The 24,638-nt window shown below is 38.4% G+C and overlaps 1 protein-coding gene and 1 long non-coding RNA gene across 4 annotated transcripts in view; one reads left to right on the plus strand and one right to left on the minus strand.

The window, feature by feature from the left end:
• Positions 1–24,638, plus strand: part of LOC101929727 (uncharacterized) — a 248,010-nt gene that overhangs the window by 27,478 nt on the left and 195,894 nt on the right. The window lies entirely within an intron of this gene.
• The window catches only part of RNLS (renalase, FAD dependent amine oxidase), a 411,796-nt gene continuing 399,091 nt past the window's right edge, over positions 11,934–24,638 (minus strand). For 2 of the 3 annotated variants that reach the window (XM_017016382.3, XM_011539924.4), the window contains one exon: positions 11,934–23,615. The gene's annotated coding sequence lies outside the window, so the exon portion shown is untranslated. The remainder of the gene's footprint in view (positions 23,616–24,638) is intronic. The other variant, XR_001747122.3, reaches the window with a different exon arrangement.

A 24,638-nucleotide genomic window follows, 5' to 3' on the forward strand; every position in this document is an offset into this window, starting at 1 on the left:
CTATTATTATATGTATATAATACATATAATAGTAATAATATAAATATATATATAATGTAATATACTAATAATATAAATAATAGTAATAATAATAGTAACAATATAAATATATATAATGACATAATATATAAGAAAATAATATTATATTGTTATAATATTACCATAAGAAGGCCTTGCTAGGCATTGGCAAGTTTTCTCTTTGTTCTTCTGTCTCTCTTTTTGTGTCTGACTTTCAAGAGCCCACACCTGCCCCTTGACTCATATAAAATATCCGCTAGGAAGTAGTATTGTCACTTTAGAGTAAATTTAAAAAAAAATTGGGGGGCCGGGCATGGTGGCTTACGCCTGTAATCCCAGCATTTTGGGAGGCAAAGGTGGGCGGATCATGAGGTCAGGAGATTGAGACCATCCTGACCAACACGGTGAAACCCCGTCTCTACTAAAAATACAAAAAATTAGCCGGGCGTGGTGGTGGGTTCCTGTAGTCCCAGCTACTCGGGAGGCTGAGGCAGGAGAATGGCGTGAACCCGGGAGGCGGAGCTTGCAGTGAGCCGAGATCACGCCACTGCACTCCAGCCTGGGCAAAAGAGCGAGACTCCGTCTCAAAAAAAAAAAAAAAAAAAAAAAAAAAAAAAAAATCTGTGAATATGGAGAGGAATAAGAGCTTGAAGTTCAGGAAATGTTTAGAATCTGAGAATGTAGTCCGAATGGGGATGGGGAGATAGAAAAACAGGGAGAGGGGGAGTTGGCTTGAGGTTCCCCTCCCCTTACTCCCACCCTTCTTTTCCTTTTCCCAGAGTTCTCCTCCAATATAGCTATTATTCCAACATACAGCTTTTAGACAGCCACCACCTCCTCCTGTCAATGCAGTGCAGACTCTGCCCAGCCCCCCAACTCACCCCCCCAACAAAATTAAATTTCTTTCTAAAAAGCAAATGTAAACTGATTTGCACAGAAGGGGAGAATAATTTAAGAAATGAATTTATTATGCTTCTACTGGCATTTCTACTTTAAGGATAAAGGTTTCTTTAATGATGGTTTCTTGAGAAAGTATTTGCTAAGACCAGCTCCTGTTTATGAAATAGAAGGTTAGTAGACAACAAAGACCAATATTCTCTTCTGATGACCGTAAGAATGGCAGGACATGTTATTTGAGCAACAAAAAATGAAAATAAGTCTAATGTGGAGGTAGACACATCCATCGTAGTAGTTTGTTAAGCGTTTTTCCTTATTATAGGTGTGCTGGAGTTCAGGCTAGAGTGTGTTCTATGTACGTGCACTCATGGACTTGAATGTCATTTCTTATTGTTGCTGTTGATCACTGGCCATGGGTTCTCTCTGTAGGACCACTAGTTTGGAGAATTTAGTTTGGGGAAGGAACTTGTGGTATTTTCTCGCAGGGTGAAAAGGATCTTACATTAAAAGATTATATGTTCTAAGTTTTAACTAGTCTTTACTAGGGGTGACATGCTTCTGACAGTTTGGATGACTTTTAAGAACTTTTGCAAGGCTGCTATAAATATATTTTCAGTCATATTCATCATGAATATTCCTATACCCAGAAATAAGTTTGAAACAAAGAGAAGTATTTTGTCATTAGGTGGCCTCAGCAACACTCACTCTTTACTCTCCTAATCAAGTCTGGTCTGCCTCACACACAGGTCTTATCTAGACTTTTCTCTCTATCTTGATTTAGCTGTTGGCTCTGCAGATCCTAATGATAATTGAGATTAATCTTTAGGATATTTGTTTACTGTATATTTAGGAACTGCTAAGAAAACAGCCAATTTACAACAAGGTCTGCATACAAGATTTTCTGTCTATATGGCATTGAATTTGTCACCTAATTGTCTCCATAGGAAGTTTTATCTAAAAGCACCATGGTTTATTCCAGTGACACAGGCCTTTTCAAACTCCAGTTTGACAAAGGAAGCTCTTTTTTTGAAATACAAAAGCAAAGCAATCAAAACCATAAAATCAATAGCATGTATTTTCTTGCAGTGCTATCATTTAGAAGTGATTGAACAGATAGTGTTCAAGTTGAGGTTATTTGATTTGTTTTCTGCTTAGGATCTTCTGTCAGTCATCACTAGTTTTCTTTTTGGTGTTATTTGGCATTGTTCTATAGTCCATCAAAGCAGAAGCTTAAGAGAAAAATAACACTGAAGTTTTAGGAAGATATTTCATTGCATGTTTTACAATGTAAAAAAAATTATTGTGGAATTACAAATGATGGACCAAGAAAATTAGCAAAATGAAAAGAAACAGATGTGTGTTTATGTGTGTTTATCTCAGGCAGCAGATTATTGGGCAGGAACATTCCTGAGTAGAGTTTTTGACTCTTAGGAAAGGCTCAGGGTATGCTATGAAGGCCACAGCCATAGACAACCTAGCCATGGTTGCTCTGAATAAATCATGGATTCTGCCTAAGGCAGTGACCCTGTAGCTCAGCATTACCCAAATATATCTGTACAACATTAGTCCTCCAAGACGAATGAAGTTTCTATGGTCAAAGATGTTTGAGATGCTGATATGGTTTGCCTGTGCCCCCACCCAAATCTTATCTTGAATTGTACTTCCCATAATCCCCACGTGTAGTGGGAGGGATCCAGTGGGAGGTAATTGAATCATGGGGGTGGGTTTTTCCCATGCTGTTCTCATGCTAGTGAATAAGTCTCACAAGATCTGATGGTTTTATAAGTGGGAGGTCCCCTCCACAAGCTCTCTTGCCTGCTGCCATGTAAGACATACCTTTGCTCCTCTTTTGCCTTCTGTAATGATTGTGAGGCCTCCCCAGCCATGTGAAATTCTGAGTTCATTAAGTCTCTTTTTCTTTATAAATTACCCAGTCTCAGGTATGTCTTTATTAGCAGCGTGAGAACTAATACAGATGCAGATTCACAAACATAGTAGCAATCAGGAGTCATTTACAATATTGCTTAACCCAGTGTTCCTCAGAGCTATTCCCCTAGCTCTCTTTTCCCATCTAGTACCTATTGCTCACCTGTAAAAGTAGAGTCCTGGTGATCACACTTTGGGAAATGGCAATACCTTTTTACTCCTTAATTCCCTTCTGTGAGTCATAAGAACCATATCGACTACCTAATTTTGTTTATGAAGAGTGTGTTGTTATGGCTGGACAACTTTCTTACAATGATAACTTTAGATCTTGGCAATGTGCCACTTGTGTCTAACAGAGAGAAAAAAGAAAAAAAAATTTAAGATAACCCCAATGCTCCTAAAGAATTGTGGAATCTTTGTTAAGTCATTGAGCTCTCCATTCTGTCTTTTTACCAGTGAAATTAGGAGGCTGAACACTAGCTCCTCTCCCCTTTTCAAGGATTCTCCAAGCTCTGATATTCTGCAACCCTGATATAATGTTGCAGGTTCTTCTTTCCCCTCCCCAGCAGCATTCTCACATCCTCACACCCAGTGAGAGTCATTTCCTGATGGTCTACAGTCTGGTCAGTGTTCTATTCTCTCTGAAATCTCCAGTAACTGATTACAGGGGGTCAATGGGTTCTCATCATGTCTTTGAGGAGCTTCAAGATAACATTTTCTTGCTGAATTGTCAGTCCTTCACCTGAAAGTTTCAGAGCCACTTCCTTCCCTGAGCACGAGGCCTGAAGTTGCTTTCTGTGGAATAAGTGGGCCACTCCTAAAGGCCACCAACCCAGGTGAAATGCCATTGGATGGCAACAGTCACGTATCTTCTAGGCAGGGGCTAGGATGCCCAGTGGTGGGGGGTTCTGTCTTTGTCTTCTCTTATATATGATCCCAAGTAATTACTTTTCTTTTCCAACTTGATTTCAAATATACTACCTACTTACAGGAAATATGGAAAATTACACACACACACACACACACACACACACGGAAGAAAACAAAAATCACCCATAATAACAACGAAGAATAACATTGACCCAGGGGCTTTCTTTTTCATATAGCTCTGTCTCTATCTCTGTCATTAGGAGGGAATTTATTTCTTATTCCTGATGTTTCTTTCCATGTTGGGGAACACCCATTAGCCAAAACACTCCTAACTGCTTACCATAGCCCTTGCTTGACTCCTGGGGAGGTGGAGTGTTATTGAACTGGTGAGTTTGGGAGAGAAACAAGGTATGAACAGCCCCACTCCTACTTGTCTTTGTTTACTGGAGGGTGCTCCTGCCAAGGATATGTGGTCTCACTCGCTCTCAGCAAGCTAAGTGGGGAAGGTTTAAGGGAGGCCTGTGGAGTGGCCAGGTGGTTAAATCTGGCTGATTAGGTCCCCTGACCTAGACCTGAACTTCTGTACTCTACCAGATTCGCAGACATGCCTTGCTCTTTGTAAACCCCCTGAGTGAACACAACTCCAGTTCCCTTGTAGCCAGTCTTACCGTGCTTCAAACATACCCAGATCTTCCTGAACCCCCAGCAGTCAATGTTACATGGCAACATGATATTTCTGCTATAATGAAGTTATTATATTAATACTAATATATGTTTCTCTGATTGCTTTCATAAGCTAAAATTCCTTGAAGTAAAACGTCTAGGTCCAAGGGTGTGGACATTTTAAAGGATTTTGATATGTATTTCCATATTTGGGCTGATATTCAGATAATGGACCAAGCTCACTTTAGCATCAAAGGCATAGAGAATAGAATCCCTGTTTTGTTTTGAGCAGAAAGGCATCTTAGAAATTATCTGAAAATGTCAGCATCAGTCTTTCTTTGGTGGAGTCAACTCAATCATCAGACATCAATCTCTAATAATTCAAAATCACTGGGGGAAAACATCACAAACAAGTCTCTTATTTTTCTCCTTCCTATTCACCTCACAACCCTCCCAGTGGTCACACTGTTTCACAGGGCTCCAGTTCAGCCAGGTGGAAGGTCCGATCTCTGACTGCCTGGGGAAAGATGGTTTTAGAGTTATTGGTGCAGGACACACTCTGAGGAGCAGATTCACTGTTTCTCTAATCAGTCTGGCACCAGTGCCTTCATGGGGCAGTGCTGTAGAAGGATTCTTGCATTTCTCATCAAAAGATTAGGCTCTTAGGATCTCTTCATTTTTCTGAAAGCATTTGCTAAAGGTGTCCTCTGGAATTAGCACACATTGCCTGAAAATGCTGTGTGCTGACTGAGGGGGAAACATGGCTAGAACAGACCCTCTTTGTGCTGGGAGTACTGCCTGCTAGGGTGACCACCTGTCTTTGTTTTCTCAGGACAGTCCCAGGTTTAGCACTGACAGTCCAGGCAAACTAGGACAATCGGTTACCCTGCTCCCAAGTAAATGCCAGCCCTGAAATTCCTACCTTCAGGGTACTAACAAGTTAGACAATTAGACAGTGGAGATATTGATTTTGGAATGTCTGTTTAATATGTGGTAAAAATAATTTTGGGCTTAGAAACCAGAAGCTCAGCTTCTCTCTTCCCCTTGTTATGAGCTCTGAGATCTTGGGGGAGTTAACACTCCTCCCTGTGTTTCGTTTTTCTCATCTGTAAAACCTGAGTAGTAGACTTGCCCTGCCTGTTTCACCGAACGGCTCCAGGGAGCAAATGTAATATTGTATAAGAAGGCACTTTGTAAACTGTAAGAAGTGGGTCAGCGTAATGTGATTTTATTGTTCTAAGATATTTATGCATCAATAACACATGAGTCTCAGTTATGATTTATTCTATTTATTCTGAATTTTGTTTCTCATCCTCACAGTTAGGGGTAAACAAACACACATGTCATATGCTGTAGATGGTGACTGGGGCAAAATCTGGAGTTACAGCGAGGCTCAGGGAGCTGCTGAGATGTCATCCTTTGAAAAGGCAGGGTCATTACTTTTGGTGCCTGTAGGCCCCTCTGCCATCTGTGGGTCTCTTCCCTTTGCTGTCTCATAGGACAAAGAATGAGTTTGAGGTGAAGGTGGACTGAAGATTAATCCTATTCTGTCAGGCATGGAACAAGCTTTTCCAAAGAGCAATCAGTAAAGGAGTCAAGGATGGCAAAAAGAAGGAGATGCCTTGCCTTATTTCCTCCTTTTATTTTTTTCCATTTCCTAAGAGCCCAAGTTTGTGAAATGGGCCTCTAGTGGGAAGTGTTTTAAATGAGAAACTCCGTGGAACACAAAACATGATGGGCAATGTGAATTGCTTTTTGTGTTGAGTTTTTGGTACCCACATTTGCCTGACTGCAGTTTACTACTTGAGAGAGAGGAATAGAATGGAAAATGCTGTAGGCACTACAGAGGGCCCATTATCTCAAAATAATTCTTCCCTTTTAGAATGTCACTGCAGTAAGGCTGGGGGCAGAGAACAGATGTGGCTCCTAGTCAAGAATACTTAGAACCCAGACCAGAAATTGAACTATGGGAATAGCTGACATCCAGGACGAAAGGCCATTGTTGACTGGTTGGTACTGAGCAATAGTGTCTAGCCCCTCGAAATGCAAATGCTGTTGTTTGCAGCACAAAAGCACCAATTTTCCCTTTAACAGAGCGTGTACTATTAAAATAGCATGTCCTGTGTGTAGTTGCCGCACATTCTTTCCATTTTTTTTTTTTCTGTGTGAGTCAGAGTGCAGATTCTCGACAAGGCTGAAAAGAAAGAAAGCCATCTAATTTACATGGGCACAGAGTACCCACATCTGGATAGAGTTAGAATGAGCGGGAATTACTTGCAGCATTTAAATATAGGCGTGCAGACCTTCTTTCTTTTGACCATATGAGGCATTCACATGTAATTCCATGAAAGAAAAACCCAAAAGTCTACTTCTTATTAAAAGAGGCTGTTGTTGCTAGTGTGATTCAACCATTACAGGAACTGACCCAAACTTACAGGAATTGACCCAAACCTGGAGGCTGACATGAGTGGCATGAGGCCACCATACTCTCACCACCCTTCAGATGGTCAGAATTATACAATATTGTTGAAGGCATGCTAGTACCTACTTGTCTGTGCCAGGAGGTTGGCAGGATCTGAAATCTGTCCCAGTTGGAACTCATAAGCATTGTAGTAAGCTGCTGATGCTGGGGAAACTGGGTGGAAATTATCAATGGGGTCAGGCCCCACGCTGGATGAGTCTTGTGTGCTTTACCACCACCACTGATAGACCTGTTTCCAGTTCAAATAAGATGTGGGGAAAGGGAATATAAATAGCAGATACCCAGGCCCTAAAAATGTGAAAATGAATAGCTGATATACAGAAACCAGGAAAAATAGGGGAAAGATAAATGGCTGTCTTCTGAAACTAGGGCCTCATTAATACCTAATTACTGGCATTTAAGGAAGAACTATATAGATTTCACATATGAGTTGATACGTTTATTGATGTGTGGGTGGCAGTGGCATTACTAAAGACCTTAGTGAGGAAACTGGTAGACAATATAGAAGGTTATAATGTTAGAGAGTTAACAAGGCAGAAAGTATATATCACTTTATGGACTTGTTCTCAAAATGACCCACAAAGCATTATAACAACACTTAGCTCTATGCATTTGCTGAGTTCCACCTTCCCCATGTCAGATTTCTCTCAGATTATATCTGGTAGAATTTTAGGCATTTGGGCTTAACTTCCTCTATATGCTCCTCTCAGGCCTCTGACAGTCTTCTGAAGAAGCATGACAATATTATCATCTTTGCAGTTAGCTTTATCAGAGTTTCTTTCTGGGAGGGTAGCTGTCTTTATTTAGAAACAGTCCTTGATAAGTTGTGAATGATAAAAGTGAGACTCCTAAGGCAGGCATTGCACAGGCTGAAGAAAAGTGAAGAGAAAGCAAACTTGCTCTGCATTGGATAGAAGGTGAAAAATAAGACTGTGTGTTGAAGGAGAAGAAAGAGAGAATGAGGAGAGAAGACAATGAGATTGGAAAAGTTCCCAGCACTATGGCCATTGGGGACTGAAAAGACTTCCAAAAATAGAGATATCTGCTATTCAGTTTGAAGTTTCTTTTATTGCTGGGATGGGAAATCTTGTCTCCCCATAGTCAGGGCTTCAGTAAAGTCTACCTCTATAAATGTAAATTGCCTTTAGTGAGTGAATTTTTGGAGACCAAGGAACTGAGGAGTTTCACATTGGGTTTGATGAAATAGTGAATTGGGAGATAATGCATTAGCTGAAGTAACAGGAATTTGTAGGCAGAGGTATGGTAAGGACTGCTAAGTGATTACTGGTATCCCTCCTTTCTTTTCCTATCATAAAAAAACTGCTATGTTTTATCTGGGAATATTGCTGTCCAGGTAGAGACTGCATTTTCTTTTCTTTTCTTTTCTTTTCTTTTTTTTTTTTTTTTCTTTTTTCTTTTTGAGATGGAGTCTCCCTCTGTTGTCCAGGCTGGAGTGCAATGGCGCGATCTCGGCTCACTGCAACCTCTGCTTCCCGGGTTCAAGCAATTCTCGTACCTCAGCCTCCCAAGTAGCTGGGATTACAGGTGCCCACTACCATGCCTGACTAATTTTTGCATTTTTAGTAGATACGGGGTTTTACCATGTTGGCCAGGCTGGTCTTGAACTCCTGACCTCAGGTGATCCACCCACCTCGGACTCCCAAAGTGTTGGGAGTATAGGCATGAGACACCGCGCCCAGCCAAGAATGCATTTTCAAGCCTTTTTAAAAGTACGTGTCAACATGTGACTTAAGATGGTTAATATATGTGTAGAAACGATACGTATTTCTTTTAGGCTGTGCCTTTAAAGGAAATGAGCAAACATTCCCCTGCCACTTTCCCATTTTTGCTGGCTAGTAAATAATGAAAGAGCTGGAGCAGATATCTTGGACCCAAATATGGGTGGCAGATGTTGAGGATGATAGAGCCATCTTACTAATTCTTGCTTGCCAACATCTGGACTGTTATATGAGAGAAAAATGAAATTTTAGATGCAGTAAGTTGCAAAAGCACTATTATTTTATGTAACCTCAAGAAGAAAAATATACATACCCAGTTAAACTATGACATAATGCTTGAATGACATTGATTACAAAACACATTTCCATTTCAGAATTGTTTACAAGTGAAAATTTTGTATTTTAAAACAATACATTTCTTGTTTAAGCCACTGCACCTGGGATTCATTGTGTTAGTGGTTTATGCTATATTCCACCTAACATAGAATTTGCTATCAGAAGTGGGGTGCTGTCATAACATAACCCAAAATAAGTGGTTTAGTGGTTGGGCAGCAGGAGGCAAAGAAAAACATTGCAGGCTGAGAATCTGGTGACTCCTGTTACATCCTGACAAAATATTCAGAAAAATGTTCTCTAATAAAACTTTGAAAGACAGACTGTATGATGCTAGATCAAGAAACTTTGGTGAAACTGGTTGGAAAAGTCAGAATGTTGATGTAGTCTAGAAATTTCTTATCACTTTTAGATTGATGACATCAGTCTAGTTATAAAAGGTGACTCATAATCTAAAGTGGCAGCTTTAGCAAATGGTAGTGTTTTAGCCCAAGACTTTCCCATCACTTGCCAGCAAGACTTCCCATCCAAATGGTGAGAGCTAATCCAGAAGCAAAAATCAGATTAAGGGTGCTGCCTTCCCAACCAAATCTATTGTTTCAGATGGTCCCAAAGAAGCTATAATTAATGAGAAAATGAGAAAGAGAGAGTGAGAGTGAGAGTAAGAGAGAGAGAGAGAGAGTTGGAGCACAAAGACCAGTACATGTAAGATCAGTTTTTTTTGTTGTTTTTTTTTTTTTTAAAAAAAACTCTGTTTGGATGAACTCTTTGGCTGCAGTTAAATATATATGGAACCAATGGAACCAAATAGCCAGAAGCATAAAAATAGTTTTGAGAAATTTAATTGCCAAAAACCCACAAGTCTGGTTTCCAAAAGCCTCTTATTCTTCCATCCCTAAAACAACCCCAGTGGTATTAGTCCATTTTCATACTGCTATGAAGAAATATCTGAGACTGGGTAATTTATAAAGAAAAAGGGGTTTAATGGACTCACAGTTCCACATGGCTACGGAGGCCTCACAATCATGGCGGATGGCAAAGGAGGAGGAAAGGTATGTCTTACATGGTGGCAGGCAAGAGAGTATGTGCAACTTGCCCCCATGATTCAATTACTTCCCACTGGGTCACTCCCACGACACATGGGGATTATGGGAGCTACAACTGAAGATGAGATTTGGGTAGGGACACAGCCAAACCACATCACCAACCCTCCAAATATACCCCAAGCAGGAAATAAGTTACAAAAGCAGTACAGCTCTCAAGTCGGGCATGGTCTTCAATACTCACTTTATATGTGATAAGTGAGAATAATGGAGAAGGAAAAACTTCTAAGTAGGCAGAAGCAGGATCAAATTAAGGCAATTTATCCATTTAGGGAAGGGAGAATTTGGTAATTGCTATGGACAAATGACTGCTGTGTTTTTCCCTTTTTCTTTACATAATAGGAGTTTTAAATTGTAGTTCATTTGTTTCTACTCCATCATTGTAGACTGTGTGTGTGTGTATGTGTGTGTGTGTGTATGTGGAAGTGGAAGATAACTCTCCACTAGACCAAGAGAAATCCTATTTAGACTTGATGGAAAAGACTGCCCCTCATGGGAGAGCCCAGACTTGGAGCTAGACGGAATGTTGGGCTGGATTCCTCAGGGATGGGAAAAGTATGTTCCATTTGTTGGGGGAAAAAAAGGTGTGAATGGATATCTGAGTGGCTAGAGGCAGGATCTGATAGAGACTGCTGATTGTCCTCCAGCATCCATTTTTTCTTTCCTTTATGCATAGAATTTCCTTTTTGTAGTTTGATCTATGTCAGCCCAGGTAATGACTCCCATTCCAGGTCTTTTGCAGCTAGTTGTGCAGTGAGATGAGCTCTGGGCAATGGGGTATGAGCAGAAATAATGAGTGCCATTTCTGCACTATGCCTTTATAAGGCATAGACATGAGCTTTGTGTGTTATTTCCCTCTTCCTGCTATCTGGGATGCAGATATGATGGCAGGAGCTGGACCAGTCACCTTGAACTCAGGCATGTAATCTCAGGCATTGAAGATGGCTGAGTAGCTTTACCTTCCTTGTTCTGGAAATCTCTGGACCATTACTTAGGAGAGAGTAAACTTCTCTTGTGTTTAAGCCATTGCTGTTTTGAGCCTCTTTATTTTAGCAGCTTAGACTGAACCCCAAGTAATACAAGCCGTAACCAACCCATGAATTCACACAAATCTTGTGGAGAGCTTCTGAATTAGAGATTCAAGCCAAATCTTATCTATATCTCAAGGGGAAAATGAGGAGAGAAGATAAGATCTAGATATACTATAGGCCTTCCACTTCCCAGAACAGACCAGAAAACATAGACAGGAAATAAAGATACTAATACTGCCACAGCAGCCTCTGCCCCAAAATCTGGCCAGGAGGCAATGTGAATCTCACTCTGTCCAAAGATGTGGGTAATTTTTACATGTTTGTTCAGTGTTATCAGACTCCTTTCTGATATTATTGCTTAAAACCAATACTTTACTACTGGCATAGAGAGGAAGAGAGGCCAAAACACATATTTTTCCCCCAACAGAAAATGTCAGAGTTTTTAAACAGAGAAATGCAAGAGATATTTCAAAATTTATCAGTCACTGGACTAAATTGAGAAAGTTATGTTGTGGGTTTCTTGAGAGGTCTCATACAAAATAACAATGAACATGTATTAGGATTCTTGGAGCAGTCTTTCTATTTGAGTCACCTGGATGCTCAACTAGACGCATGCAAATAGGAAAATGTAGCTTTCTTTGCTGACTCCAGCCAGGCTCTGTCAGAAGCATTGATAAGGGCAACTGATGCAGGCTGAGAATACGGGCATTGAATAAATGCTGAGCCAATTGCTTATATCCTCATTTACTCACAGAAACATGGATGTTTTACATCCAGAGAAGCCTTGACCAATAACCTGGTTCTCATTTTACATTCATGGAAAACTGAAGTGACTTGACTATTAGAGACAGCAGTAGACTGGAACATGGTCTCCTGATATCCAGATCGTTGTTCTTTATTTTATTATTGTTAAATTTTTAGTTGACACATAATCATTGTACATATTTGTGGGATACAGAGTATAGTTCAATACATGTATATAATCAGGGTAATTTACATATCCATAACTTCAAATATTTATCATTTCTTTGTGTTGGGAACATTCAAGATCCTCTCTTCTGGCTATCTGAAAATATACAATGAATTATTGTTAACTATAATCACCCTACAGTGCTATAGAACACTGGAACTCATTTCTCTTATCTAGTTGTAATTTCATGTCTGTTAACCAGCTTCTCCTTATCTTTCCTTCCCCCTACCCTTCCCATCCTCTAATAATTACAATTCTACTCTCTACTTCTGTGTGCTTAACTTCATATGAGTGATTCTATGTCTGACTTATTTCACTTAACACAATGTCCTCCAGGCTTGGCCATATTGTGGTGAGTGTCAGGATTTCATTCTTTTTTATATCTGATATCTGATAGTATTCTACTGTGTATATAGAAAAGGCACACTACATTTTCTTTATCCATTCATCTGTTGACAGGTGAATGGGTCGATTCCATATCTTGGCTACTGTAAATAATACTGCAATAAACATGAGGGTACATATATCTCTTCAATATATTGATTTCCTTTCTTTTGGATAAATACCCAGTAGTGGAATTGTTGAATGATACAGTAGTTCTATTTTTAGTTTTTTGAGGGACGTCCATACTGTTTTCCACAGTGGCTGTACTAATTTATATTCATACCAACAATGTGTAAGAGTTTTCTTTTCTCAGCATCCTTGCAAGCATTTGATATTTTTTTTGTCTTTCTTGTAATAAGCACTGTCACTGGGGTAAGATGATATCTCATTGTGGTTTTGATTTGCATTTCCCTGATGATCAGTGATGTTAAGCATTTTTTTCATATACTTGTTGGCAATTTGTATATTTTCATTTGAGAAAGGTCTATTCAGATCCTTTCTCCATTTTTAGACTGGATTATTTGTATTTTTTTACTGTTGTTTGAATTTCTTATATATTCTAGACATTAGTCCCTTGTTGGATAAATAGATTGCAAATATTTTCTCTCATTCTACGGGTTGTCTCTTCACTCTGTGGATTGCTTCCTTGCCTATGCAGAAACTTTTTAGAGTGATATAGTCCCATTTATCTATGTTTGCTTTTGTTGCCTGTGCTTTTGAAGTCTTACTCATAAAATCTTTATCAAGACTAATGTCCTGAAGCATGTCTCCTATGTTTTCTTCTAAGAGTTTAATAGTTTGGGGTCTTACATTTAAACTTCTGTGCATTTTGAGTTGTTTTTTTTTTTTTTTTTTTTTTTTTTTTTTTTTAGATGGAGTCTCGCTCTGTCGCCCAGGCTGGAGTGCAGTGGTGTGATCTCGGCTCACTGCAACCTCCACCTCCCGGGTTCATGCCATTCTCCTGCCTCAGCCTCCCCACTAGCTGGGACTACAGGCACCCACCACCACGCCCAGCCAATTTTTTGTATTTTTTTAGTAGAGACAGGGTTTCACCATGTTAGCCAGGGTGGTCTCGATCTCCTGACCTTGTGATCAACCCACCTCAGCCTCCCAAAGTGCTGGGATTACAGGCATAAGCCACCGCGCCCGGCCGAGTGGATTTTTGTATATGGTGAGGGATAGAAATCTAATTTCACTGATACCCAGTTTTTCCATCACCATTTATTGAAGAAGCTGTCCTTTCTTCAATGCATTTTCTTGGTGCCTTTGTTAAAAAGCAGTTGGCTGTGAATGCATTGACTTATTTCTGGGTTCTCTAGTCTATTTCTTTGGTCTACATGTCTGTTTCTGTACCATTACCATACTATTTTGGTTACTATAGCCTTGTAGTATGTTTTAAAGTCAGGTAACGTGATGCCTCCAGCTTTGTTCTTTTTGCTCAGTATTGCTTTGGCTATTCATGGTTAATTGTTTCATACACATTTTAGGAGTTTCTTTTTTCTGTTTCTGTGAAGAATGCCATTGGTATTTTGATAAGGATTGCATTGAATTTGTAGATTTCTTTGGATAGCATGCTCATTTTAAGAATATTAATTCTTACAATCCAGGAATGTGAGATATTTTTCTGTTTGCTTGTGCCCTCTACAAGTTCAGTGGTTGTTTTTTTAGACTCCTTTTATGCAACAAAGTTCCATCAAAGCCAATTTTAAAAGGCTAGTGAAAACTAATTATTCTTGCTGCACTTTATACAAATAATCAGGCCAAGTATATAAACCAAATTGGTCTTTTTTTAAAAAAAAATTATGTCCATAGGTTTTGGGGGAACAGGTGGTATTTGGTTACATGAATAAGTTCCTTAGTGGTGATTTGTGAGATTTTGGTACACCCATCACTTAAGCAGTACACACTGAACCCAGTTTGAATTTCAGTGTTATGTAGTTTTCATTGTAGAGATCTTTAACCTGTTCAGAGAAATTTATTCCTTGGTATTTTTTTTTTTTGGAGTTATTGTAAATGGGATTACTTTCTTAATTTCTTTTTCAGCTAGTTCATTATTGGTATTAGAAGCATTACCAATTTTTGTAAGTTGATTTTGTATCTTGCAACTTTACTGAATTTGTTAGTTTTAAAAGGTTTTTTGGTGGAGTCTTTAGAATTTTTTTAATATGTAAGATTATGTCATCTGCAAAGAGAGACAATTTGACTTCTTCTTTTCCAATTTGAATGCTCTTCATTTTTTTTTTCTTTTGCATGATTGATCTGGCTAGAACTTCCAGTACTGTGTTGGATAAGAGCAGTGAAAGTTCTTGTTCCAGATCTTAGATGTCTTGTTCCAGATCTTAGATGAAAGCTTTCAATGTTTCCCCATACAGTATAATGTTAGCTGTGGGTTTGTCATATATGGTCTTTATTGTGTGAGGTATATTCCTTCTATACCAATTTGTTGAGAGTTTTTATCATGAAGGGATGTTGAATTTTATCACAGGCTTTTTCGGCATCTATTGAGATGATCATATGTTTTTTGTTCTTCATTTTTAGATGTGATGTATCACGTTTATTCATTTGCAGATGTTGGACCATCCTTGCATTCCTGAGTTAAATCTCACCCGATTATGGTGTATTAGCTTTTTGATATACTGCTGGATTTGGTTTGCTAGTATTTTGTTGACGATTTTTTGCAGCTACGTTCATCAGGCATAATGGTCTGTTTTGTGTATTTGTTGTTGTATCCTTTTCTGATTTTGGCATAAAGGTAATGCTGCCTTGTAAAATTAATTAGAAAGAATTCCCTCCTCTTAAATTTTTTGGAATAGTTTGCAAAGAATTGATGTTAGTTCTTCTTTAAAAGTTTGCTAGAATTCAAAAGTGAGGCCATTCTGTTGTGGACTTCTCTTTGTTGGGATACTTCTTATTAATGATTCAATCTTGTTACTTGTTATTGGACTGTTCAGGTATTCTATTTCTTCCTAGTTCAATTTTGTTAGCTTATATGTGACCAGATGTTTATTCATTTTCTCCAGGTTTTCAAATTTGTTGGCATATAGTTATTCAAGTAGCCTTTAATTATCCTTTGTATTTCTGTGGTATCAGTTGTAATGTCTCCTTTTTCATTTCTGATTTTATTTATTTGGATCTTCTCTCATAATTTTCTAGTCTAGCTAGTGGTTTGTGGATTTTGTTTATTTTTTCAAAAAAAATGAATTTTTTGTTCATCTTTTGTATTTTGGGGGCTGTATTTCATTTAGTTCTGGTCTGATTTTATAGTTTCCTTCTTTTTCCCAATTTGGGGTTTGGTTTGTTCTTGCTTTTCGAGATCCTTAGGTGCACTGTTAGGTTGTTTATTTGAAATCTCTACTTTTTTGATGTAGGCATTTACTGCTATAAAATTCCCTCTTAGTACTGATTTTGCTATAACCTCAGGTTTTGGTGTGTTATGTTTCTATTCTCATTGTTTCAAGAATTTTAAAATTTCCTTCTTCATTTCTTCATTGACTCATTGGTTATTCAGGAAGATATTTGTTAATTTCCATGTATTTGTACTTTTTCCAAAGTTCCTCTTGTTACTGATTTCTAGTTTTAGTCCATTGTGGTCTGAGAAGATACTTGATATAATTTTAATTTTAAAAAGCTTATTGAGACTTGTTTTGTGGCCCATCATATGATCTATCCTGGAGAACATTCCATATGCTGCTGAAAAGAATGTGTATTCTGTAGCTGTTAGATAAAATGTTCTGTAAAGGTCTGTTTGGTCCATTTGGTCTACAATTAAGTTTATGTTTAATTTTTTTTAAATTTTCTGTCCAGATGTGTTCAATGCTGAAAGTGGGGTGTTGAAGTCCCTCCCTGCTATTGTATTGGAGTCTATTTCTACCTTTAGATCTAATAATTTTTTCTTCATATATGAGTGTGCTCTGGTGTTGTGTGCACACATATTTAGAATTGCTATATATTTTTGCTGGATTGATCCCTTTATCATTGACCTTCTTTGTCTCTTTTTATGTTTTTGATATAATAGCAATTACTGCTTGCTTTTGGTTTCTGTTTGTGTGGAATATCGTATTCCATCCCTTCACTTTCAGGCTCTGTCTTTACAGGTGAAGTGAGTTTCTTGTAGGCATCATATAGTTAGGGATTTAAACAAAATTCATTTAGGCAGCCTTAGCCTATCTTTTTTTTTTTTTCTTTTTTGAGACGGAGTCTTGCTCTGTCGCCAGGTTGGAGTGCAGTGGCACAATCTCGGCTCACTGCAACCTCTGCCTCCCAGGTTCAAGAGATTCCCCTGCCTCAGCCTCCCAAGTAGCTGGGACTACAGGCATGTGCCACCACACCTGGCTAATTTTTTTGTATTTTAGTAGAGATGGGGTTTCACCATTTTGGCCAGCATGGTCTTGATCTTCTGACCTCATGATCCACCTGCCTTAGCCTCCCAAAGTGCTGGGATTACAGATGTGAGCCACTGCACCCAGCCAGCCTATCTTATAGTTAGCGAATTTAATTCATTTACATTCAAGGTTCTTATTGATAGGTAAGAATGTACATCATTTTGTTAATTATTTTTTGGCTGTTTTGCATATCTTTTGTTCCTTTATTACTCTCCTATTGTTTATCTTTGTGGTTTGGTGATTTACTGTGGTAATAATATTTGACTCTTTCCTTTTTCTAATTTCTGTATCTGCTCTACCAGTGAATTTTGTACTTTTGTGTGTTTTTTTTCTGTTTCTGTAATGGTAGATATTGTTCTTTTGCTTCCAGAAGTATAATTTTTGTAGGGACAGTCTTTTAATTTATGAATTCCCTCAGAGTTTGCTTGTCTGAGAAAGACTTTATTTCTCCTTCATTTCTGAGAGATAGCTTTGCTAGGAATAGTAGTCTTGTTTTACAGTGTTCTTTCAGCACTTGGAATATATCATTTCATTCTTTCCTGGCCTCTAAGAAATCTGCTGTTAGTCTGATGGTAATTCCCTTATGTGTGACTTGATGCTTTTCTGTTTTTGTTTTCAGAATTCTCTCTTCATCTTCATCTTTTGACACCTTAGCTATAATATGTCTCAGAGAGGTCCTTTGTGGGTTGAACCTATTTGGGGATATTTAAGCACCCTGTATCTGGATGTCTATATCTCTCACAAGACTTGGAAAGTTTTCAGCTATTATTTTATTAGTTATTTTTCTATGACTTTGCCTATCCTTTCTTCTGAAACTTCCATTATGCAAATATTTATTTGTGTAATGGTGTCCGTATGTCCCATATGGTTTCCTTATTCTTTCGTATTGTCTGCTTCTTTGTTTTTGTCTGACTGGGTTATTTTAAAAACCATCCTTCAAGTTCAGATATTCTTTCTTCTGTTTGAGCTCTTCTACTGTTGAAATGCTTAATTGTATTTTTTATTTCATTAATTAAATTCTTAAGTTCCAAGATTTCTATCTGGTTCTTTCTAATAATATCTATCTCTGTTGAATTTCTTATTCAGACCATGAATTGTTTTCCTGATTGGGTTGAACTGTCTATTTGTTTTCCTATATCTCACTGAATTTCCTTAAGATCATTGTGTTTCATTCATTTTCAGGCATTTCATAGATTTCCTTATCTTTGAGGTCTGTTACTGGAAAATTATTTTTTTCCTTTGTAAGTGTTATATTTCCTTGCTTCTTCATATTTCTTGTGTCCTTATGTTGATATTTGTGCATCTGGCAGAACAGTCACTTCTTCCAATTCTATAGAGTTGCTTTCGCAGGGAAAGACTTTTTCCTGTAGTGTTCTATAGTGTAGGTTGGGTAGGTTGCTCTGGCTTTGATGCTATGTGAGTGCAGTAGTCTCCATATGATTTATTTGACTGCAACTGCCTCAGTGGCCTAGGCTTTGGTTGTTTGTGGTGGCTGTGGCATGGTTTTGTTGAGGATGTGAACATTGGGTAGGCTGGTCCTTGTGCCTTTAGGTAGCACATGTGGGCATGCAGCATCCCTGCTGGAGGTGGCAGGGTCATTGGTGGGGAGCAGCAGCAAGCCATGGGTGGGCCATTTCTCTGGTCCCCAGGCAGGTGGTTCTCAGGTTCTGGAAGGGCACACATTGGCTCCCTGGGTTCTGTGGGCAGCCTTTCTGCTGCGCGGGACTTCCTGTTCCCCAGGGTGTAGGGTGCTACATGAACTTGGGTGCTGGGTTCTCAGCTGTACCTCTGGGTCCAGCTGGTGTCACAATGCTGCAGACCTTTGGATGAATGTGGTAAGATGTCAGTGAGTCCCAGGGATGTGGAAATGTTAATGTTATTGGGCCCTCTGTCAGGTTGTACTCTGGTGGTTTCTTTGCTCTCAAAATGCTATTTTGCTGCAGCAGCCTGGTTCCTGGGGAGTGAGGGCGACCAAGTGTGAATCTTCTTTCTGGAATAATGCAGCCACATTGGCTCCAGGTAGCTCCCCAGTATACTGGACTCAGGGCCTGTGAAGTCTGTGAGGACTCTCCTGTAGTTATGATTGTAGGTATCTGTGGTGAGAATGTGGATTTCTGGAGATCTTCTGCTTATCTTTTCCCTGCAGTGGGGAATCCCTCTTGACTCTGAATTCATCCTGGCTGCCTGCTTTGCTTCCCTCTCTATGCTGCCATCATGAATTTCCATGCCTTAGAGGGTCTTTGTCACTTTCTTGCTGGATTCCAGTGTTTTTCCTTAGATATTCCATACAAGAGTTATCTATTTATTGTTTTGGGTCTTTTCTATGGAGGAGGCAAGTGCTGGGAGCTTCTAGTCAGCCATCTTGATGATCCAGACTACTGTTCTGCCTCACTTTGTCAATTTAGAACTTCCACTGGAGATCTTATCAGGGGAGAAACACATACTATCTGGGGCTCCCATTAGGATTGTTGAGGGAGCTCTGAGTTGAATCTTTGATTCCATTTTAGACAAAGCCACTACTCTTCAAGGTAGTGGCTATTCACTCACTGAGCAAATATTTATAGAGATCAACTGTGAGTCAAGTGCTATTGTAGATGCTGAGGATATATTAACAATGTCAAACAGACACACTTCAGCCTGGGCAACAGAGTGAGATGTCATCTCTAAAAAAAGAAAAGAAAAGGACATACATCTCTGCTCTCCTGGAACTTATGTAACAGTAAACACAATAAATAAATTATGTGGAATGTTAAAAGTGCAGTAGAAGAAAAGAAATCAGGTAGGGGGAATGGGAGTACCAGATTGAGGGTGGTGGTGTAATTTTAAATTGGGTGACCAAGATGGGCTTCACTGAGAAGTTATTACTGCAAAGTCCTGAAGGAAGTGAGATAATGGACCATATGGATATTTCAGTGAGGAAGCATGTGGTTCAGAGAAAAGCCAGCTCAAAAGTCTTGAAGCAGGAGGGTAGCAGGCTAGTTAGTAGAATGTTAGCTTCTTGCACTCTTGGTAAATGGTCATGATTCTTTTAAAGAATCTCTCTCTCTCTCTCATCATGGATAATACTGTAAATAGTATTACTGTCTCCTTTACATGGTTCTCTTGCAACTACTATTACTAGCATATATCAGGCAGTGCTCCAAGTACTCTATATGTTTAATTCATTCAAACCTCAGAATAGTCTTTGAATTTAGGTAATATTATCTTTGTTTTACAAACTGGGAAATATAGAGATTAAATAATTGGTTTACAGTCACATAGAGATTAAAGGTCAGAGACAGGATTTGAACCCAATGATTTTGGTACCCCAGGACTTTGGCAGGAGAGCCCATACTTTTTAACCACAATGCTCTAAGGTGCCCCACCAGTCTGCTACTGATAGGACATGGTCTTCAGTCTATTCTTAGGTAGAAATCAAAGTATTTGCTATGTCTTTTAATTATTAAATCCACATTTGGAGACGGACTCTAAGTATAATCCCCAGGGTGGAGGTGAATCTTCCATAAACAGAAATGGTTGCTTAAGAAAAAACCCTATGTTTTCTTTAGAACAGAACATCCAAGTTACATGGGAATGCACCATATGATTGTTGTGAATTGAAGTCAATTTGGCACCAACAGAAATAACCTTAGGAACAAAGTTGTATACAGTATGTTCTTACGGAAACCACACTTAGAATGCAGAGTAAACTGTTAAGGATAGATCTTTCTTTCTGGAGTTGCACTAGCTGTCTTTGGGTGGGGACAGCAAATTGTTTCGTTTATAAGATTTGTACATCAAAGCTAGATCTGCTTATACTTTAAAACCAAAAGGAGGAGAAAGACTTATTTTTAGCTATCTGAAATTTAAACCAAACCCAACACTGACATATGGATGTTTCAGACTGCACCATGTCAGAAAATTTCTCAGAGATGACATTAAACAACAATATATTATTGCAGCTGTAGAGAGTCAGTGAGATCCTTCTCTTATAATTTTGTTTAATAGCTATTGGGACACTGGGATAAAGATTCGATTTTTCAGAACTAGAGCTGGGTGGCTGAGAACTAGAATTGGGTTCAGTCCCATGAGAGTGAGAATTTCACTATATCTTACAGAAACAGTTTTTGGTGCTTTAGGTTGGTCAATTGGCTGGCCAAAGGATTAGCTACTGCACTCTACTTATAAAAGAAAACTTTAATTTAAAAAATGTACGTGTGCGTGTGTTGTAGATAATATACTTATTCATTTTAGATAAGTTCAAAAATATATGTTAATCTAAAAGTATTCACCTGTAATCCCCAACCTCAGAAATAACCAATGAATATTTTGGGGTATACCTTTTTACCTAGATAGATATACAAGTATTGAACAGATGTAGAGCTAGGTAGAGATATACAGACCTGTCATACATATATCAAACAGATTTTTTTCACTCTACAAAAAAATGGGATGAAACCATCCATACTATTGAGTAACCTGTTTTTTAATTTTAATGTTTTTCAATGTGGTATTTTACTTAGCATTTTCTTATGCCAGTAATTTTTTAACACAATCACTTTTACTTATATTCCATTTAAGTTCATGCATATTCCATGCTTTATTTTACTGCTACCCTATTGTGATAGGTCCCCAAAGATCAACATGCCCTAATCCCTGGAATCTGTGAATATGTTAAATTACATGACAACTTCTTTTGTGCAGATAGAATTAAGGTTACTCATCTTTAGGCAGGGAGAATTTCTTGGGTTATCAGATGGGCCCAGTGTAATCACATGGCATTTCATAATGAAAGATGGAGGCAGAAGCACAGATCAGGGAGCTGTGATGTGAGAAGGACTGGCCCCATCATAAGCCAGGAAATTTGGAGGTCTCTAGAAGCTAGGAGCAGTTATCATCTGAGAATCAGTAAGAAAACAAAGATGTCAGTCCTACTACCAAGAGGAAACAGGGGCCTATTCTTCCCTACAACCTCCGCTATGGAATGCAGCTCCCCTGACACCTTGATTTTAGCTTGGTGAAGACTTGAAGCAGAGAACCCAGAAAAGCCCAATGGACTTCTGACTTACAGAACTTTAATATAATACATTTGTGCTGTTTTCGGCAACTAAGCCTGTGGTAATGTGTTATATGGCAATAGAAAACTGACACACCTTTTGTTGTATACCTGGGTCATTTTCAATTTCTCACTAATGAAATAAGACTGCCATGAACATCGTTGTAGCTAAACCTTGATGCACATCTTTGACTATTTATATAGGATCAGTTTATTTAAGGGTAAGTATGCATCAGTGGTCTATGAAATTTTCAGACTTTTCATGTGCAGTGCATTGCCGAATTTAAGGAACATCATTTCCTGATTGGGAGTTAGGCAAATGGATAAAGAAAGGCCATCATTCTTTTCTTTCAGCTATTGGTTCTAGCTATTTGGTTTCTATAGTGTTTACAGTATAACTCTTCTTTTCAGCTGGCCACAGAAGCCTTTGTGTTTTCTGTGTAGATGGAAATAATTGCTACATTTGTGGAATAATGGCCAACTCAAGAGCTGCTTGAAGAGATCTTTATGGTGAAGCTGCTCCCTAAAGTTTGAAATATTAGTCAAAGTGCATCAGACCAAGCTTTAGAACTGAAATGGAATTTGCTTTGCTCTTCAAACACCACTTATGCTGGCATTAGGGAAGGGTGTGGGGTAGGTCAAATATCCATTACTGGGCAAACAACTTGAAGTATGTTTATTTTATGGGGCTCTCTCCATATACATTAGAGTTGGTGAGAGGCTAACTGCCTCTTTTATGAGCCTCAAGGGTAGCTTTGCTCAAATACATCAACCACATCAGAACTCAAAAGTGTTGATTGGGAGGCAGCTAATGTAGATGAAGGATTTAGAAAAAAATATCACCCCAGGTGACCGGATGTACCTAACCATGTTCCCAGCTCAAAGCCAGCTCTCATCTTTCATGTTTAGAATGGCATAAAGTTTAAAACAATATTAGGTTTCAGATAACATATTTAACATTTTGGCTGTTTATTCTTTCTGAAGCCACACACTGATCATACTTTTTGCTTCAAAATGCGTGGGGGTCAGACTTTAGGATAACTCAGCTATATTCATATCTGAAATAATGAATAATGAGTAATACAGAAAGTAGCCACATTAATATATCATTCACTTTACAAAAATACCCATTCCAGCATTCTTTTAAAATATTCAAAGTCTCCAGGAAATTTAACGTTACACTTAATTTACAAAAATCAGAATTATACATAAGTAGTATACAGTGAAACTTTCTCTCTCTCTCTCCATGTATTTGTGTATGTGTGTGTGTGTGTGTGAGAGAGTGATTTTAAGTTCTTGTGATGTAGAACAGCTATTGCTTTTGGCAAACCAGAAACTTGTTCTTGACAAGTAATTTCATCAACAGTGAAGCTTTTTTTTGTTTGTTTTAAATTGGGACTCTAGTCAGTGACCTTAGAAACAATACCATTAGCAAGTTCAGTTGTGGAAAGGCAACCTAGTATAGTAAAAAGAACACAGATTGGGAGTTAGACAGACTGGCTTTGACTCCTACATGCCCGGCACTTACCAGTTGTGTTTTTTTGGGGAAATTTTCTGTAAACTCATTAAACTTCAGCTTACTCATCTGTAAAATGGGAACAATAATATTCATCTTGCAAAGTATGCATGCTGTCTAGCATATTAGCATGCTTCTTGACACAGATTTGGGGTTCAGTGAAGAAGGTACTTTCAGTTGTCTTGTCATTCCAGAGTAACATTATTCAGATGCAGGGGACCAAATCCATATTTTCCTTTGGATGCAAGCTATGATGGCTTGAATGCCTTGGATGTGGAAGAGAGAAAGACATATAAACAAATGAATTAATGAATAAAGCAAATAAGAGGCTGTTCTTCACTTTACATTCATGTCAGCTAATATGTGAAATTGCTCTAATAGAATTAATTTATTGGGTAGATGAAGCCTTCTTTTTCACTTTCACACAACTTCATAGACATTGAGAAAACTAATGTGTATATTAACAGTTTCCATTAAATATATAACTTTTCTATAAAAATGTAACTTCAATGCATTTAGCAAACTTCTCTGTGAAAGAACATTTTTAGTTGACATATTTGAAATTAAAGTGTCGTTTGAACTGAAATGGCACTTCCCTGTTCAAAAATCTTCAATGATTTCTCATGTTTTACAGAAAAAAATCCATACTACTTTGTTGCTGATCTTATATCAGTACTTCCTCCTATCATATTTTTCATTACTCCATTAAAGTAGTTTTTATTCATCTCAGATTGATCTGTATAATATCAAAATGCATTAGTGCTATAGGGAACATCTTGTGTTTTGCCTTTTCAGTAATATCTAATGATAACTAGTTGTTTATCCCCATTCCCTGATCCATGTAATGCCAGCTTGACCAATCAGGATGTTTCATCTTCCTTACTGTAGTGATTGGTTCAGGAACGAGTAGATAATTCAAGATGGTTGGAATCAATGGCGATACTGAGACTTTTGCGGATCAACTAGAGAGAAGTCATAGTTTTCACTGCTCTATGGGACAGCTGAGAATGGTGCACCATTTTGCTGCAACTGTTTGAGTGCCTTCCAGAATGTAAAGTTAACACAGAGGAAAAAAGAGCTGAGAGAAGATTAGAGGTAGTGTTCTGGTAGTGGTGTTTCAGTCCTTAAAGATGAACTCCTGGACTTTGTAGTGACATGAGCCAATAAATTCTCTATCTGGATTCAATTTGAAATAGGTGTTCTTCATCAGCACAGACACTTTCTGTGTGAGCCTATATTTCTCATTTCCTAAATATTCTGCCTTTTCTTCTCTACTCACTCAAGAGCTA

This window comes from Homo sapiens, chromosome 10 (assembly GCF_000001405.40).
Source record: "Homo sapiens chromosome 10, GRCh38.p14 Primary Assembly".
NCBI lineage: Eukaryota > Metazoa > Chordata > Mammalia > Primates > Hominidae > Homo > Homo sapiens.